At 47.0% G+C, this 19,678-nt stretch overlaps 1 protein-coding gene across 5 annotated transcripts in view; it reads right to left on the reverse strand.

Annotated features, from left to right (window-relative positions):
* DGCR2 (DiGeorge syndrome critical region gene 2) overlaps nucleotides 1–19,678 on the reverse strand; it is an 86,127-nt gene that overhangs the window by 25,603 nt on the left and 40,846 nt on the right. For 2 of the 5 annotated variants that reach the window (NM_001173534.2, NM_001184781.2), the window contains 3 exons: nucleotides 6,212–6,337; nucleotides 2,960–3,170; nucleotides 1,314–1,390 (listed from right to left, as the gene is read on the reverse strand). In NM_001173534.2, the coding sequence (NP_001167005.1) occupies nucleotides 1,314–1,390; nucleotides 2,960–3,170; nucleotides 6,212–6,337 (414 nt within the window). Of the gene's footprint in view, nucleotides 1–1,313; nucleotides 1,391–2,959; nucleotides 3,188–6,211; nucleotides 6,338–19,678 lie in introns of all 5 variants that reach the window. The other 3 variants (NM_001173533.2, NM_005137.3, NR_033674.2) reach the window with 2 other exon arrangements.

The raw sequence follows: 19,678 nt of genomic DNA on the forward strand, positions 1-19,678 counted from the left end.
CTAAATTTTAGGTTCACTCTCCTGCCTGAGGCTCCAATGGAGTCACTGAGCTGCACTTGGCCATTAAAGCCCACCCAGGACCCTTGCCATTCTCACACCAAGCATGAGGCCCCCAGTCCCCAACTCTGAATGTGCTGTCATCCCACTCAGAATCATGTCTTCTCTTCAACCACCAGTGTCAGGAGGACAAGCTACCAGGATAATTATGCTCTATGAGGCAAACTTTGACTCTGGGGCCTGGAAACCCAGAAGCCATTGATTAGTCAATAGCAATCTAAACAATGCACTCATAAAGCCAGGGAATGCAAATGTGGCTGGGGCTCTCAGGAGGGCACTGGTGGTCATGAGAACAGGGTGGCATCTGTCCTGAGCAGGATCGGGACAGCAGGTGTGGCCCCAGTCTGCTGGGCTCTGCAGCCCCCACCTCTGCTCCTGCCCTGTCCCAGCAGCCAGGCATGGCCCCGCCTCTGTGGGGCCCTCTTTTCTCCAGGGAAGCCGGCCACCCAGGCCTTGACCCTTTTCAACCCTGTCCCCAGGCCCATCACTCCTCATTTATCCTTCTTAGAGATACTTAAGACATCAACAGCAGGACTGGGATGTGTTTACGAAAAGAACCCAAATCCTAGCTCAAGCCACAGGCACAAAGTACAGCCCAACAGACAGGGAAGGGGCAGGGCAAGGGAGTGTGACCCTGGCGGCAGCTGGAGAAGGCACTGCTGGAGTATGTCCAGGAGGAGCTCGCCAGTGCCAGGGCAATGGGACAGGAAGGGCAAGCCAAGTCCGAGCCCAGGGAATGTAAAGGAAACAGCAGCCATGTTTCCTTTACGTCGTCTTGGTATTTCCAAGCAGCTCCGCATAAAATCTTTGCGCACACACACACATGCATGCTCACTCTCTCTCTCTCTCTCTCTCTCTCTCTATCTGCCTGATAGTTTCCTTCAGGTCTGGATTCTACGTCTGACCTTTGTCCTGGCAAGCTTGTCCTCCCCTCCAGCCTGCCAGGGGCACACTCTGCATGCTCATTTTTATACTCCAAGGTCTTTAACTTCAAAAGGAGGCGGGGGACAATCTAGAAAGCTGGCCAAAGTGAGATGCAACAGAGGGTTCCAGAGACAGCCACCGCCCAATGCAGGGCCTGATCTGCAGGCTGCACTGGCCCCATGACCGCAGCCCTCCCTGCAACTGGGGCTCACCCACTCCCTGCACAGCACCCCTACGGGCCAGGCAGCACTGGGTAAGAGGGAGGAGGGGAGGCCCCGAATCAGGGTGACTCTGCCCAGCTTCAAACACTCCCACACACCAGAAGGGCTCACCTTTGAATGCCACCTCCCAGCGACCTTCCAAGGAGCGGTTCCGGCCAGTGATAACATACTGATAGCCAACCCACAACCTGCAGGGCACAGAGACAGAGACAGAGATCTCAGCGGCAGGAGGGATGCAACCATCAATGACTGTGTGTTTTTTGTTTTTTGAGACAGAGTCTCGCTCTGTCACCAGGATGGAGTGCAGTGGTGCGATCTCGGCTCACTGCAACTTGACTTCCTGGTTCAAGCAATTCTCCTGCCTCAGCCTCCCGAGTAGGTGGGATTACAGGCACAGGCCACCACGCCCAGCTAATTTTTGTATTTTTTTTTTTTTTTTTAGTAGAGACGGGGTTTCACCATATTGGCCAGGATGGTCTCGATCTCCTGACCTCATGACCCACCCGCCTCGGCTTCCCAAAGTGCTGGGATTGTTTTTTAATAGCTATACTGACCTCCACAACACTGAGCTTCTAACATGAGACACTCATGTTAGAATGCATTAAAATTCAAAACAAGAAAGTTCACAGGGCAGGAAAAGTTTTATCTCAGGGAACTCTTGCCAAGACTGTTTCTATGAGCTAAACCGGTAAAGCTTTCACAATTTAAGCAAGAACAATCTTATTCTTGGTAGACATGAAACCCCATGAATACAACTCGGTGACTATGCTAAAACCATAGGACAGGGCACTCCACAGGGGAGATTTTCATGGCATGTGAACTGCATCTCAATAAAGACATAAGTCCCTGCAAATATCCACTACCATGGGGGCTGAAAACACTTGCACGGCTTCCCACTCAGAGCCAGCCCACCTCAGGCCTGCAGCCTGCTCCTGAGCATGCAGGCCTAGCACTGAAAGGACCTTGCACTGGCATCTGGCTGACCGCCATAAGCTCCTGCCTAGTCCATGTCCCTTGGCCCAGCTTTCCAGCCCCAAGCCTAGAGATGCCCATCAGCAGGTCTCCCCGCATGGCAGGAGCCCAGGGATGGCACACTCTGCCCTATGCTGTGCAACCACAAGGCTGTCCTCAGAGATGGGGCTGCCCTGCCCTCCGGGCTATACCCTCTTGCTTCTCCACTGGACTCACAGGCCTGTCCTCATGGGGTTAGTACAACAACCTGTGAGCTAAGAGTTAGTTTCCTCCCTTTGTAGCTGCAGAAGGAAAAACAACTCCGTCTTGTGATTTGCCAAACTCTCACAGGGCATAACTGTGGAGTCAAAACCCAGCTTGGGTCTTGAAGCGAAGGCCCCCTTGCTTTCTTGGGGGGAACCCCCACCTACACTGCACACCCCTTGCACAAGGCCCACGAAGCCCCACACCAAGCAGTTCTCCCCACACAAGCCAGCACCCCCAGCCCCCTGCCTGCGCTCAGCAACTGCACTTGTACAAGGAGAGGGGTACCAATGAAAGGGGCTGCCCCACAGTCCCACAAAGTAGCAGCAGAGTCCAGCCTGCCCCTGCTCCCAGGACCCTCCACCTATCTCGATGCACACTCCTACCCATGGATCTCCTGGGCTTCCAGTGGGCGAGGCTGGTCTTCCCAACCTGCTGTCTGCCAGCTGTGCTCCAGGAGTTTACTGAGTGGTCAGAGGCCATGTGCTCAGTAGTCATCAGACTCTGACTCCAGCCCCTCAGGTCCCCAATCCAGGACTCACTTGCGCTGGTCCTTCCAACCAAAGCTCCGCTCGGGCTGGTCCCATTCCTGGGCCAGGACAAAGCGCAGCTCCTGGTCAGTGGAGAAGGTGGCGAGAGAGCCATTCAGGCGCTGGCAGGTCTGCGCGGCATCCCAGTAGTTCTCCCCGCTCAGGTAGACCCGGTAGCAGCTGGCCGTGCCTTCGTAGTGGTGCCACCCTGTCGGGCACTTCCCTAGGAAACATAAAGGACAGAAGGGGAGTTGTCCCCCAAGTTAGGATCCAGCTCCAAAATGGAAATTATATGTACTCCATCAGGGACAGGCACACCTTGTAAATCACCCTAGAGAAGTGGGGAAACTGAGGCTCAAGAGGACAAGGTCTGCTTCTGAAACCACATTGCAGAAATGCTCAAGTTTCTCTAAAACACAGATTCAATGATACAAGTACATTCGGTGACTCTTCCCATTTCTATAAGATCTTTTAATTTATTCACTAGTCAAGAACGGCTGCTGAATTAAGTCTTGTAAAGTGGATTTCATTCTCTGGGTTAACAACACAGCACAACTCCCATGCAGTTCACTTTGGGCCCTGCTTCCAATGCCCAGCTCTCCTGGCCTCCGCTGCCAGCTAGCTCACTCCCCTCTCTCCCTTTTCTACTTACATGAGCATTTGCAGTAGGGGCTGGCCAACCCTCCACTAAAACAGCAGCTCAAAGGATAACAGCTGGGAGAGCCATGACACTGTGTGACCCGCCCCTGCCTCCCACAGCCGAAAAAAATAAGGTGTGGGCGATGCCACAGGTGGCAAAGCTAAGGAGCCAGCCAGCACTTGAGTATCAATGAGTCTGGCCAGCGTCCTCTCACTTCCTCCACCCATCACTTCCGACTCCTACACCCACACACGGGAATGCCTGGTAATTTACAGCTCACCTTAGGTAACACCAGTGACCTCTTTTATAGAATCTTTAACCTTCAAATGTTGGGTACCTCATATTAGTACACTGGAGAAGAGTGACAATTTTTAGCAAAGCCAGTTGTAAAATTAAAAATGCCATTTTTAAAGTGCAGCTATGTCTTGTGGCACTAGTAAAACTTCTAGACACGTATCCCCATGTATTTATTATGTAAGCATGTGTGTGTGTGACTTCTTCATAAAGGCACATAGATTACAGAAAAAGAGGGGCACCCCTAGCCCCTAAGCATGGCCACAGCTGGACAGCACCATCTGCTCACCGTGAAGGGTACACCTGAGTGTGCAAGGAAGCTCTTTAGGTGCAGACAAGGAATCAGAGGGCTGGCAACAGTGGCTCACGCCTGTAATTCCAGCACTTTGGGAGGCCGAGGTGGGCAGATTGCTTGAGCTCAGGAGCTTGAGACCAGCCTGGGCAACATGGCGAAACCCCCTATCTACCGAAAATACAAAGAATTAGCCAGGTGTGGTGGGGCACACCTGTAGTCCCAGCTACCTGGGAGGCTGAGGTTGGAGGATCACTTGAGCTCAAAAAGGCAGAGACTGCCTGCAGTGAGCCAAAAGTGCGCCACTGCACTCCAGCCTGGGTGACAGAGTGAGACCCTGTCTGAAAAAAAACAAACAAAAAACAAACAAACAAAAAAAAACAAAACAACAATAAAAAATGTCAAGGCATCAGCTCTCGAGAAGGTGTGTTGCACATTCATTGCGTGTTTCCTGGGTGCCACACCAATGCATGCAGCCTGACCACATGCCCCGCAGGTGGCTCTGCACCGTCTCCATGAAGAGGTGAGGACACTGAGGCAGGCAGAGGCCAGGCCCCTATCTCAGGCAAGGTGAGAGGAAGCCCTGTAGGGAGGGAAGCTGGCTGAGGCATGGAGGGAAGGAGACATCCCAGGATGGGAGCCAGCTGGCTGGGGCATGGAGGGAGGAAGCACTCCTGTGCACTGACTCATCTTCTTTATGTTCTGAACTTGGTGGAGTTGCTTACTACCCAGGCAGAAGTGCTGCCTGTTCAAAACTGAACAGACAGGCAAGGGGAAGGAAGAACATGGAGCTGAGCATCAGGACCCCCTGGGGCTGCACTGTGAACTGCCCCTTCCCTACAGGTGGCCTCTCAGCCTCAGTGTCTTCACACACCAAGCCTGTGCACCACACTTGCACTGTGGGGACCCGTTCGGGCTGTGGGCACAGGCCGGAGACAAAGTGCATCACCAGGACATGTCCAGCCCTGCTTCAGCCGCACCAACATGCGTGACCACCTGGAAACACCTGGCCCCACTCTGGCCACCCAGGGTTGGTGGGGGTTCTGCCAGAAGCAGACCTGGTCACCTCTGAGGTGCTCCCCAGTGCTGAAAGTCTGGGGGCTGAGGAGTAACACAAGCAGACAGGCCCAAGGCAGGGCAGCAGGCCCATCCAGTATCAGTCCTGCCTGGTCCACAGCCGCTGCTCAGCGTACTTGGGTACCTCGCGCCTGAGAGGGTCTGCTCAGGGCCATTTCAGTGGTGGCTTTTCCTCCCCTCAACCTTCCTTGATGATCTCATGCCCCTTTAAAATTTCAATGTCATAGGTAATTTATTAAATAACTAATCACCTTAAAAATTTTTCTTAAAATGGCTGGACACAGTGGCTCATGCCTGTAATCCTAGCACTTTGGGAGGCTGAGGTGGGTGGATCACCTCAGGTCAGGAGTTCGAGACCAGCCTGGTCAAGGTGGTGAAACCCGGTCTCTACTAAAAATACAAAAATTAGCCGGGCGTGATGGCACGTGCCTGTAATCCCAGCTACTCGGGAGGCTAAGACAGGAGAATCACTTAACCTGGAAGGCAGAGGTTTCAGTAAGCTGAGATTATGCCACTGCACTCCAGCCTGGGTGACAAGCGTGAGACTCCGTCTCTAAATAAATAAATAAATAAATAAATAAATAAATAAATAAGGAGTCGAGCCTTCCCATTTTATTGCTGTATCTAAACTCAGAGCTGGTTTCCTCATTTATAAAAGGGAATAATACAACTTTGGAATTTCCAAGGGCCAGTGCCTTCTGGCCCTGAAAAGCAGTCACTTTGTGAGAACAAGCAGCCTGGCCTCAGAGCCGGTTGACTTCCTAGGGCCTTGAGTCACATACCACCACTCCAGCGCTGGGTGACTGCGGGTGGGTCATCATGCAGCCTCATTCATTCCCCTCACTGGCCTCCAAGGGCTGCTTTGAGAAACCCCTCACGCAGCACAGTAGTGCTGGAAAGGCAGGGGTCATGTCAGGCTTGCACTCCCCAGTGTCCCAGTCAGGGCAGGTCTGCAACTTACTGCTGAAGCGAACGGGCTGCGCCACGTTCACCGCGTGGAAGTGCGAAGGGTCGCCTCCTCTGGCCCGCCCCTGCCGCGGATCCACAGCCTCCTTCCCATGATGAGGACGCACCTCCCCGGTCACTTCTGAAAGCAAAAGGAGATGTGTGCTGTGAGTCCTGCCTGTGCAGTCGCAGTCTCCCTGGCCAGCATGGTTCAGACCACTCAGGGCTGCAAGGCCGGAGGGGGGGCCTGTAGCACAGAGTCCGGCAATGCAGGCTTTCTTTAGAGCCCTATGAAACACTGCCGCTCGCATCAAATGGGTCCCGTGTGCTTCTTATTAAAATTATGCCGTGGCAGTTTTTGTTTTTTAAGTTACTATTGTGAAATGGAGGCCCTCTTCATTGCATTTTCTAACAGGTCATTGCTAGCACAGCAAAGGGTCCTGCATAAATTAAAATCCCTCAGCAGTTCCAGCCCCATGGGGATGGCCCATGAAAGAGTTCTCTCCAGAGCCCAGGCTGCCCCTACCCCTTCCTTGAGGGCCTTCTCTCCCAGTATGAAGGAGACCCACGTGTGCAACCTTCCTCTGCAGCCCTTGTCCTGGGGCCTGAGCTGCCTATCTGTCCCCCTGCCTGCTGGTCCCCCATGGCTGTGAAGGCCTCCAGGCCAGGACCTCAGTATGTTCCTGTCTGGCTCTTTGGTGCTTGGCACAGGCCCTGGTGTGCAGCAGGTCTCAGTGCATGGCTAGAAGGTGTCAACAGGCAGCTGAAGATGAGGAAATAACTATAGTTTTATACAGCATGATCTAATAGTAATTTGCACACCAGTGCTTCCACCCACACACTCTCTTTTGTCCTCCAACCCCCTTGTGAAAAAGGAGAACCACACTCCTCCCATCTCACAAGGTGAAGGGCAGACTCAGAGAAGGGGAGTGACTTACCCAAGGCCATGGTGCAGGGGAGAGGGCCCTCATGGGCCCGCTCACCTCCCACTCTGTACAGGTGTACCCTGATGTGTCATGAAGGGCATCGGGTACAAGGTCAGGTCAGATGGGAAACAAACTTGGTCTGCAAGGCTGCACACAGACAGACGCCTGCCAGCAAGTGCACTCTGGCTGCAGATGGCGAGTGGGGCCTCGGCTCCCCAAGGGAGGTCACAGGGAGGGTTAGGAGGCCTCCTGCAAAGCCTCCTTCCCTGAACCTGAACCGGCAGTCAGCGCCACCTGACGAGCCCCTCTCCAGCAGGTTGGTTCTGCTAGTGTCATAGACTTTGCAATGGTTTTTATTTAATAAAAAATCCACATGCTTTTTTGCTCATGATAAAGTAACAAACATTCAATGTGAAATGCTTGAAAAATACAAAAGTTTGAAAAGACAATAAACAACAAAGGCCATATTTAACTATGCGAGCATCTGCCCCCTCACCAAGTCTCTTTTCTACACAAATCTTTAAGAATACTGGGATCACATCAGACACTCCATTTCACGACTTGCTTTGTAAGCTTAAGACTATAAACAGCTTTCTATATTTTTAAATGGGCTTAGGAACATGACTTTTGATGGCTGCATAGTATTCCACAAATGGATTTCTTTCATCCCCATAATCTCTATGGTTTGAGGTTAGGCTGTTTGCATTTTTTTCATTATTCTAGAAAAGGCTGCCTTAAACACCTTGTACACAAGTGCGTATGTAGTCTCATTTCTGAGACTCTGGATACTCACTCAGTACTCAATAAGCATAGTTCCATAGCTCCTGTCAGGCATGTGATGGGGATGGGTTGCTATTCGACTGGGAATCACTAAAATATAAAATATGCTACCTGTGTCCGAGACACTTTCAACAGAAAGTGAAGACCTCAAAGGGAGAAGCATCTTCAAGGCTTGTGTTTTTTGGTAGAGGTGTCTTTGGGGTACTTTACCACCCCAAAATACAACCTAAGGACCTCAGTGTGGGACAGTAACTGGCACCACGACAGGCCTGATGCTGTAAACACGCAGTACTTGGGGACCATCAGCTCTTTAGGACTGGTCCCATGTCCTAAGCCATGCTACCTGCAGCACCCGACACTCTGGGTAGGAGACTCGACCCACAGACTCGCTGGTAGCTCTGATGCAGGGATGCAGCCACTAGGATGGGGCATCAGCACTTGGTGGAGAAGGGAAGAGCCACCTGAGCTTCTGGGCCTGAGACTGGAAGCTGAGAAAGAACAGAGGGGCTTTCTGGCAGATGGAGCAGCTTTGGCAAAGGGCAAAGGCAGACATATCCGGGATAAACCTGAGGCCAGGCCTGAGTGTGGCTGGAGAATGTCACTGAACTTAAATTCAACATCTCCCTCTGCTCAAATGGGCAAGACCTGTGGCTCCACTTTGTATCCTGGCCTCTTCCCCAAGCCAAGCACAGTACCTGGTAAAATTGCTCACAGAAAGACAAGATGAACTGAGGGCAGAGGAAAGGGAAGAGAAAGAAGAGATAACAGAGGGACAGTGCTGCCAGGTCACATGGGCACCAAAGACCAGGTTGTTACATGTTGACTGAGTGAAGTCATCTGCCCCCTGGGGTGGGAGACCAGGTGAAATATTTCAGAAACATAACCAGAAAGCCAAATGGTGATAAAGGACACCACTCTGTTGAGCAGGCTTCTCTGGGTTTAGGTGGCAATTGTGAGCCCTTTCTTTTTTCCATCATGCATCTCCATATCCAAATGCTCACATTCATCCCCTCACCCCCACGTTTATTCAATGCCCATTCTGGGCCCACCATGGAAACCTGCCAGCACAGACACAGGCCTTTGCCAGCAAGAAGGGGAAGGGCTTGGCTGTCAAGATGATGCTGATGTCAGACAGTGTCCTGGGGGAGAGTCTGGGGGCCAGGCTGGGGAATGCGCATAGCACAGGACAGAACCCTTACAGACCTCTCAGGCCTGCCTCTGACAGTAGAGAATGTCCCTCTTCCCGCGGAGGGCCAGCCTTTGGTAAGCTGGGGGGCCTCTTCCACCTCCACCAGGGCCATGGGGCCCGAGCAGCCCTGCCTCACAGCCCAGCTGGGGACCTGGTGCAGGGGTCACTGTAGCACCCAGAGCCACATCTGCTCCGACTCTGGGCTCCATGACCTGTGCAGCTCGGAGCACATGTGCCCCTCCTGCCTCCAGCACCACTAGAGTGCCACGCTGCTGCTTCCCCAGCACAGGAACACACTGGAGAGCAAGTTCAACAAGGAAACAGAATCAGGGAGAATACCTAGAATACCACTCCACAGACTATTTATTCACAAATTACTTTTCGTCACAAAAAGGGAAAGAAATATTCACAATAGTGATCAAACTTAACATCACCAATAATGAGACAAAATGACCTTGGGCCTCGTGATTTGATAATTTATGACTTACATAGTATTGCTACCTAAAAAAAAAAAGTCTCACCTGAAGCTAATCCTGAAGAAAGAGACAAGTCCAAATTGAACGCCATTCTACAGAACTGACCTGGACTCTTCAAATATGGCAATGTCATGAAAGACGCCCAAAGCCCCCTGCAAAAGAGGGCTGGGAATACTTCTAGATTAAAGAACAAAGCAATACGGCAATAACATACTTACATTAATCCTTGAATAAATCTTGAATTAAAAGGGGAAAGAAACCTGTAAAGGATGTTCTGGGGATAATGAAAAGAATCTGAATATGGATTACACAGAATAGTACTACAGTAAATTTCTTGCATGTGAAAAGGCTTCTGTAGAGGATTGTTCTTATTTTTTGATCATAGTATTTAGGGGTAGAATATCATAATATCTGTAACCTCTCAAAGGGTTCAGAAGAAAAACACAAAGAGCAACTGCGGCAGGTGAACCCGGGTAAAGGTGCGGCAGGACACTATCAGCTGGTGAACCCGGGTAAAGGCTGCAGGAGTGTTTATTGCACTATGATTATGAGTTTTTTATAGATCTGAAATTATTCATATTAAAAGGTGGGCGCAGGGACAAGGCAGGTGGACACACCCAGATTCCTCCCACAACTCAAGCAGTAAACAAATCAAGAGTTAACTGGTAAGAAGATAAAACAGGTGGTGTCTGGGTTAGGGGACACCAGTTCAGCTGAAAATCAGGGTTCTTTACTCAGGGAAGAGAGGACAGATTCCCCATCGCCATTTTTCTTCCACTAAGCTCTCAGAACCCCAGGCTCCAGGCAGATAGGAAATGGTCCTTTATGGAAAAAATCTGACCAGGTCAAGAAGAAAGTCCCCAACAGGAGGAGATTCCCAACGAAACATATCCAGCTGGTTCACCCTCCAGGGAAGCCCACGTGCACAGAACTTCAAGTCCCTCAGCCACATACAGCAGATAGGGAAGGACCACCAAACCTCTGAGGCAGAGACCCAAACCACAGAGGAAAATAGCACAGAAGAAACAAGTACAGAGACAAAAAGTTAAAACCAAAAACAGGCCATTAACATCCTCAAAGTGAGAGGTTCTACTGTACTCATGAAACAAGAAAAGGGTGCTATTAAGAAGGAGCATGGACCGGGCACGGTGCCTCACGCCTGTAATCCCAGCACTTTGGGAGGCCCGAGGTGGGCAGATCACAAGGTAAAGAGATCAAGACCATCCTGGCCAACATGGTGAAACCCCGTCTCTAATAAAAATGCAAAAAATTAGCTGGGCGTGGTGGCACACACCTGTAGTCCCAACTACTCGGGAGGCTGAAGCAGGAGAATCACTTGAACCCGGGAGGCAGAGGTTGCAGTGAGTGGAGATCGCACCACTGCATTCCAGCCTGGCAACAGAGCAAGACTCTGTCTAAAAAATAAATAAATAAAATTTTTTTTTAAAAAAAAGGAAAATGCAGACAACACTATCCATCATTACTTGCCTCTGAAAATGATCTTGTACAAATGAACAGGAGGCCAGGTGCAGTGGCTCACACCTGTAATCCCAACACTTTGGGAGGCTGAGGCAGGAGGATTGCTTGAGGCCAGGAGTTGGAGACCAGCCTGGGCAACACAGCAAGACCCTGTCTCTATGAAAAATAAAAATAAAAATAATTAGCTGGGCATAGTGGCATATGCCTATAGTCCCAGCTACTCAGGAGGATGACACAAGAGGACTGTTTGAGCCTAGCTGTTTGAGGCTACAATGAGCTATGACCACACTAGTGCACTCCAGCCTGAGTGACAGTGAGACCTGTCACACACACAAAAAAAAACTGAATACATGACAGCAAACATGAAAACTCATAAAAGATTTGGCAGAAGTTATAGAAACCTACTAAAAGTAAAATAATCAAAGAGATGGAAAACTGCAGAGGAGAAAACGAAAACTGGGAATCAATCCAAGAGCTCCAATTCCCAATAATAAAGAGTTCCAGAAAAAGGGAACAGAGAAGAAAACAGAATAGAACAGAGAACAGGAAAGTGACCCCTTTCCCTAAGCTGTAAGGCATGAGTCTAAGATGAAAAGACCCACTGAGGAGGCAGTGCAATGGTTCAAAAGATACGCAAAATTTCCAGGAAGAAAACAAGTTATGTTCAAAGAATCAAAAATTATGTCACCAGCAACACTGGTGTTGGAGTAAAAATGGAGTAAGCTTAACCTTCAAAATTATGGGAAAAACTTATTTCTAGCTTATGATTCTAAAACCAGCCAAACTTATGTGCAAAGGTAAAATAAGGACACTTCAGACATGCAAACAAGGAAACACAAACCTTTGTCTCCTATGTTCCTTTTCCACATAAGTGGGGCAGTACTCGACTAAAATGAAGGAATAAAACAAAACAGGAAAGATATAAAAACCAAACACCAGAGGTTCCAACGCAAGGAGACACAGGTGAGAGTGACTGATTCTCCCACACTGATGGTGAACGGGGAAGCTGGCCCAGCAGCACTGACAGGTGAGGACCACCAGGGGCGTCTGGGAAAGGAGGGGCCAAAGAACTCTGACTGATAGAGATCTGTAACTGAGGGGACATCAGGAAAGAGACTTCTAGGTACTTAAAAAGAAAAGATATATATGAATCTACAGGATTCACACCAAATTGGAAAACGGCTTGGCAATTTCTTAAAAAATTAAACATGGCTCGGCACGGTGGCTCACGTCTGTAATCCCAGAACTTTGGGAGACCGAGGCAGGCGATCGCTTAAGGTCAAGAGTTCGAGACTAGCCTGGCCAACATGGTGAAACCCTGTCTCTACTAAAAAATACAAAAATTAGCTGGGTGTGGTGGCATGCACCTGTAATCCCGGCTACTCAGGAGGCTGAGGCAGAAGAATCGATTGAGCCTAGGAGGTTGCAGTGAGCCGAGATCGCGCCACTCCACTCCAGCCTGGGCCACAGAGCAAGATGAAAAAAAAAAAAAAAAAGTGAAAACACAATGTTGTGCCAACAAAAAGGAAACGGAGTGCTCCTGCATGGCCCAGCTAGGAGCAGCACTGAAAGCAGGCAAGACCTCACAGAGCACAGGGCCCAGACTCACCCACCAGGCTTAGGGAAGAATCAGCAGAGAATGCCTAAAACCACGGAATTTAAAGACACACAGATAAATACCAAATGAAACAGCTAAAACAATGTTTGCCTTGAAAATTAGAGGGGTTCATAGGGTTTGCTATTAAAAAAAAGACTTACAGAATCATTTGAATATTCAAATTGTATGCATAAGTAACTTGAATAAAGATAAAACTAAAAATTTGAAGTAGACAATCAAAATCAGTTCCTCTACAGATCTGGGATGCCCCGCCCCACCTTTTTTTTACATCGGAGCTGCCGCTGAGGCATCTACTGCTCTGATTCCTGATCCTTTTATTGTGACCCAGGTTTCCCGCTACAGGGGTTGATGTCCTCTGCATTACCAACGTGCTGCAGCTGCACAAGGAGGTAATTTATACAGGCCTTTTTAAAATTATTGTGCCAGTCCCTTCCAATCCAAGGATACAATCTTTCATTTCTGGGAAATTTTCTTATATAACTTCTTTGCTAATTCCCTCCTCCCCCATCTCCTCTATTTTCTTTTAAGGAATTTGTATTAATCAGATATTGGATTTTCTGAACTCATTTTTAACCACTTAAGAGTGTACAGTTGGGCTGGGTGCAGTGGCTCACGCCTGTAATCCCAGCACTTTGGGAGGCTGAGGCAGGCAGATCACAAGGTCAGGAGATCGAGACCATCCTGGCTAACACAGTGAAACCCCATCTCTACTAAAAATACAAAAAATTAGTCGGGCATGGTGAAAATTAGCCGGGCGTGGTGGTGGACGCCTGTAGTCCCAGCTACTTGGGAGGCTGAGGCAGGACAATGGCGTGAACCCGGGAGGCAGAGCTTGCAGTGAGCCGAGATCGTGCCACTGCACTCCAGCCTGGGCCACAGAGCAAGACTCTGTCTCAAAAAAAAAAAAAGAGTGTACAGTTAAGTGGCATTATTAAGTACCTTCACATTAGTTCCATAACAACCATCACCACCATCCATCTCCAGAACTTTTCATCTTACCAAACAAACTCCGTATCCATTAAACATTACCTCCCAATTTTTCTCTCCTCCCAGCCCCTGGCAACCACAATTCTACTTCCTGTATCTATGCATTTGAGTATCTTGATAGCACATCTAAATGGAAACATACAGTATTTGTTATTTTGTGACAGGCTTATTTCACTGAGCATATCCTCAAAGTCCATCCATGCTGTAGCATGTGTCAGAATTCCTTCCTTTTTAAGGTAAACCATATTCCACTGGATGGATAGACTACCTTGTTGTTGATCCATTCATCTGTGATGGACACTTGGGTTGCTTCCACCTTTTGGCTACTATGAGTAATGCTGCTATGAACTTGGGTGTACAAATCTCTCTTCAAGTCTCTGCTTCCAATTCTTTGGAGTCGAACTGCTAAGTTGTATGATAATTCTACTTTTATTTTTTGAGACAGAGTCTTGCTCTGTCGCCCAAGCTGGAGTGCAGTGGCATGATCTCAGCTCACTGCAACCTCCGTCTCCCAGGCTCAAGCAACTCTCCTGCCTCAGTCTCCCCAGTAGCTGAAATTAACAGGCGTGCGCCATGACGCCCAGCTAATTTTTGTATTTTTATTTTATTTATTTTTTAAAGTTCACTTTATTTTTTGGGGGGGAAGGAGTCTTGTCCTGTCACCCAGACTGGAGTGCAGTGGCATGATCTCAGCTCACTGCAACTTTCGCCTCCTGGGTTCAAGTGATTCTCCTGCCTCAGCCTCCCAAGTAGCTGGGATTACAGGCATGCATCACCATACTCGGCTAATTTTTTTTTATATTTTTGGTAGAGACGGGGTTTCACCATGTTGGCCAGGCTGCTCTAGAACTCCTGACCTCAAGTGATCCGCCCGCCTCGGCCTCCCAAAGTGCTGGGATTACAGGCGTGAGCCACCGCGCCCGGCAGGTAATTCTACTTTTAATTTGGGTGGCACTGTCATACTGTTTTAGTAGCTGCACCAGTTCCCATTCCTAACAACACCGCAGAGGGATTCCACTTTTTCTAAATCCTCGTCAACACTTGTCATTTCCTGTTCAACAGCAAACATCTAATGGCTGTGAGCTATTTCACTGCTGTTTTGATTTGCATTTCTCTAATCATTAATGTGCTTATCAGTCATTTGTTTATCTTCTTTGGAGAAATGTCTACTCAAGTCCTTTGCACATTTTTTTTTTTTTTTTTTTTTTTTGAGATGGAGTCTCGCTCTCTCTCCCAGTCTGGAGTGCAGTGGTGTGATCTCGGCTCACTGCAAGCTCCACCTCCAGGATTCATGCCATTCTCCTGCCTCAGCCTCCCGAGTAGCTGGAACTAAGGCGCCCGCCACCACACCTGGCTAATTTTTTGTGTTTTTTAGTAGAGACGGGGTTTCACCGTGTTAGCCAGGATGGTCTCGATCTCCTGACCTTGTGATCCGCCGGCCTCCCAAAGTGCTGTGATTACAGGCGTGAGCCGCCGCACCCAGTCCTTTGCACATTTTTTAACCAGGATATTTATTATTATTGAGCTGTGGGAATTCTTTTTATATTTTAAATATTAACCCTTACCAGATATGAGTTTCAAATGTTTTCCATTCTGTAGGCTGCCTTTTCACTCTGTTGAGTGCTTCTTTTAATTAATAGAAGTTTTAAATTTTGACGTAGCTTAATTTATCTATTGTTTCTTTTGTTGCCTGTGATTTAAGTGTCTTATGTAAGAAATCATTGCCAAATCCAGTGTCACGAAGACTTTATTATGTTTTTCTAAGAATTTTATAGTTTAAGGTCTTAAATTTAAGCCTGATCCATTTTGGGTTAAGTTTTGTATATCATTAGCTAAGGGTCTAACTTTATTCTTTTGATTTGTATGTCCAGTTTTCCTAGCACCATTCATTCTGAAAAGACACTTTTTCCCTCACTGAATGGTAATGGCATCCTTGTGGAAAATAATTTGACCACTGTATGCAAGGACTTATTGCTAAGGCTCTGTATTCTATTCCATTGGTCTATATGTCTGTCTTTATACCAATACTACAATGTTTGGATTACTGCAGCTTTGTAATAAGGTTTAAAGTCAGGAATTATGAGGATTTCATATTTCTTCTTCTTTTTCAAGACTGTTCTGGCTCTTTGGAGTCTGCTGAGATTCTATGAACATTAGGATAAATTTTTCTACTTCAGCAAAAAAAACTTGTTGGCATTTTAATAGGGATTGAATCTGTAGATTGCTTTAGGTAATAGTCACATCTTACGTTTTACAGTCCATGAGCATGGAACATCTCTCAATTTATTTTTGTCTTTTTTTTTTTTTTGAGACAGTGTCTCACTCTGTCACCCAGGCTGGAGTGCAGTGGTGCGATCTCAGCTTACTGCAATCTTCACGTTCTGGGTTCAAGCAATTCTCCTGCCTCAGCCTCCTGAGTAGCTGGGACTACAGGTGCACCTCACCACACCCAGCTAAGTTTTGTATTTTTCACCAAGACAAGGTTTTGCCATGTTGGCCAGGCTGGTCCTGAACTCCTGACCTCAAGTGATCCACCCGCCTTGGCCTCCCAAAATGCTGGGATTACAGGTGTGAGCTACCACACCCAGTGTCTTCTTTAATTTCTTTTAACATTTTGTAGTTGTCAGTGTTTTCAGTCTTTCATGTGTACTTAAGAATATTCTTTAGTACAGACAGACCCCCAACTTATGATAGTTTGACTAAAAAATTTTTCGACTTTACAATAGGTTTAAGACATAAATCTGTTATAAGTTGAGGAATATCTGTATTTTATTCTTTGTACTATTACTGTAAATGGAATTATTTTCTTAATTTCCTCTTCAGATAGCTGAGTTAGTGTACATAAATATAAATACAACTGATTTTGTGTTTTGACTTTGTGCCCTGCAATTTTGCTGAATTCATTTATTAGTTCTAACCATGTTTCTGTGAAATCTTTAAGGTTTTTATATATAAAATCATGTCGTCACACATACAAACAGGGATAACTTTACTTCTCCCTTTCCAATTTTGATGGCTTTCTCTTCTTGATTAATTACTGTGGGCAATTAACTTCAATACTATGGTGAATAAGTGGTGAAAGCAGACATCCTTGTCTTGTCTCTGATCTTAGAGGAAAAGCTTTCAGTCTTTGACCACTGACTGATTTTAGTTTGCTGAGACATCCTTGCATTACATTTGGTCCAAGCCTTTTGACAGACTGCTAAACTTGGTTAACTTGGTTTTGCTAGTATTTTGTTGAGGATTTTGTATCAATATTCACAAAGGATATTGGTCTGTAATTTTCTAGTAGTATTACTGTCTGGCTTTGGTATCAGGGCATGTTAGAGTCACAGAATGAATTCACTTGAGAAGGACTGATGTTAATTCTTCTTTAAACGTTTGGAGAATTCATCAGTGAAGCCATGTGGTTCAGGACTTTTCTTTGTTGAGAGGTTTTTGATTACTGATTCAATCTCCTTATTAATTATAGTCCTATTCAGATTTTCTATTTCCTCATGATTCAGTCTTGGCAGGTTGTATGTTTCTAGGAATGTGTCCGCTTCATTTAGGTTAAGCAATTTGTTAATGTACAATTCTTAACAGTATTCTCTTATAATCCTGGCATCAAGTAATCCTCCCACCTTGAACTCCCAAAGCACTGAGATGACAGATATGAGCCCAGCCCAAAATCCAAAACTCTTGAGTGCCAACGTTGTACTCAAAGGAAATGCTCACTGGAGTGTTCAACTGGTAAGTATAATGTAAATATTCCAAAATCAGAAAAAAATCCAAAATCCAAAACACTTCTGGTCCCAAACATTTCAGTTAAGGGATACTCAATCTGTATTTTGAATGTGGCTTTTTCTTGATTAGGCATTTTCTTAGCTGGGCTAAGAAACCTCTGACTGTTTTCCAGAGCTTCTATAAAGTTATTCCATCTAGTCCCTAGTTGCTTATTAATGTTTTCTATGGTGGAACGAGAACCTGGAGCTTCCTGGACTGCCATTTTACCAATGTCAGAATACATTTTTTTAAGTTTTATTACATGAATAAAGTAACTGCTAATTGAGGGATTACTGTGTGCTACATTCTTGTCTAATCCCTTTATATGTAGCATGTAATGTAATCCTCACAACAACCCCAAGTGACAGGCACTATTATTTTCTCCATTTTATGGATGCAATTTGCCCAAAGGATCACAGCCAGTAAGTGGTGAAAGCAGGGGAGCAGCCCCAGTCCCTGGCTCAAGCCCCCACATTTAACCACGATATGACATACAGCAGAGCTGGCTGCCTCAGGCCACTTTGCTGTGGCCCTTCTGGTCTGGTGTGCTTTGTTCAGACTCTGGCGAATATCCACAGTGGATGTTTTCTTCTAGATCTGGTCAGCACTGGTTGTCTTTCATCATAAGAGGAAGGTGACCCAGCTAGCCAGAGGCTCTAGTGAGCCTAGTGGGCTAGACGCTTGTCAGGGACCACGGTGGGAGAGCTAGTCTTTCAGTTGGAAACCTTCCATTATGTTGACACTTTTCTACCTCTTGTATGAAGTGCCAGTGTCTCTAGAAAAGACTCCTCCAATCTCCTGTCTGGGAAAACACCTGGCTGCTGACATCTGGAGAGCAGGGCAGAAGACAGGCCTGAGCATCCTACTTATTACCTACTTGTCACTACAGAGAATTTCTCTTAATTCCTCTATTTTCAACCTCCACGACTCCCCTCTGTTGTACCTGGTGTCACTTATTTTGCAGACTTTAAGTGCTGTCTAATAGAAACACAATGCAAACCACATTTCAACAAGTAGAAACAAACATGAAATTAATTTTAATACTTTATCTAACCCAATATATTCAAAATACTATTACTGCAACATGGAAACAATATAAAGAAGTATTCATGGGATGTTTTACATTCTTTTTTTGTACTAGGTCTTTCCTATTTGGTGTGTATTTTACACCTGCTGCACATCTTCCTTCAAAACAGCCACATGTGACTCATGGCTACTACACTGGACAGTGTTGGTCTAGAAAATCAACTCCTGCGGGGCACAGTGGCTCATGCCTGTAATCCCAGCACTTTGGGAGGCTGGGGGCAGGATTGCTAGAGCCCCGGAGTTCAAGACCAGCCTCAGCAACAGGGCGAGACCTCGTCTCTACAAAAAATTTAAAAATTAGCTGGGCATGGTGGTACACGCCTGTAGTCTCAGCTACTCAGGAGGCTGAGGTGGGAGGATCGCTTGAGTCCAGGGGTTTGAGGTTGCATTCAGCTGTGGTTTCACCACTGTACTCCAATGGGCAACAGAGCAAGACTCTGTCTCAAAAAAAAGAAATGAAACCCCACATCTTATGGTAGCAGAAAGAGTCACCCAGTGATGGAAAGTGAAGAAGGGAATGCGAGTGCCAAGAGAATTCCACCAATCCCTATCCCACTCCCATGCCTATGCCTGATGCCTGCCACCCTTGGCACTCAGAGCCTTCAAGCGCTGAGCCTTTCTGGGAGGCTGCTGGGCAAACTGCTTATTTCTTGTTGTTCTCACTCAAGCAGGCCCATGGTTGCAGCTGCTCTGCTACACCAGGTCAGTTTAACTCTCCCATTGGCTTTTCTTTGGAAAGGAAAAAAGCTGTATAATATGTGAAACATTTCAAAGAATGTATGTAGCACACATGTAAGATTCATAAGCCTAATAATATAGTTGTGAGCGACCTCCCCACACCCCATTTAGGAAATCAAGCATTATTTTGCTTCTCCCAGTCTTATATCCCTCTGTCTCTCCACCAGGAACTAGAATTTTGTGTATCACTGCGCTTATTTTTTTCTTTTAGTTTACCACATGTGTATGTATCTATAAGTAATATAACGATCTGTTTTGCTTCTCTATATTGTGCCATATGTCGTTTTTAGCAACTTGCTTTTAGCTGACGTTCTGTTTTCAAGATTCATCCATGTTGCTGCATAAACCTAACATTCACTTACTGTTGCTGGTGTATAACATTCCATCATGTGAGCACAGACATTTGGGTTGTTTCCAAGACATGTATCAATGGCAAAAA

This window comes from Homo sapiens, chromosome 22, assembly GCF_000001405.40.
Source record: "Homo sapiens chromosome 22, GRCh38.p14 Primary Assembly".
Classification (NCBI taxonomy): domain Eukaryota; kingdom Metazoa; phylum Chordata; class Mammalia; order Primates; family Hominidae; genus Homo; species Homo sapiens.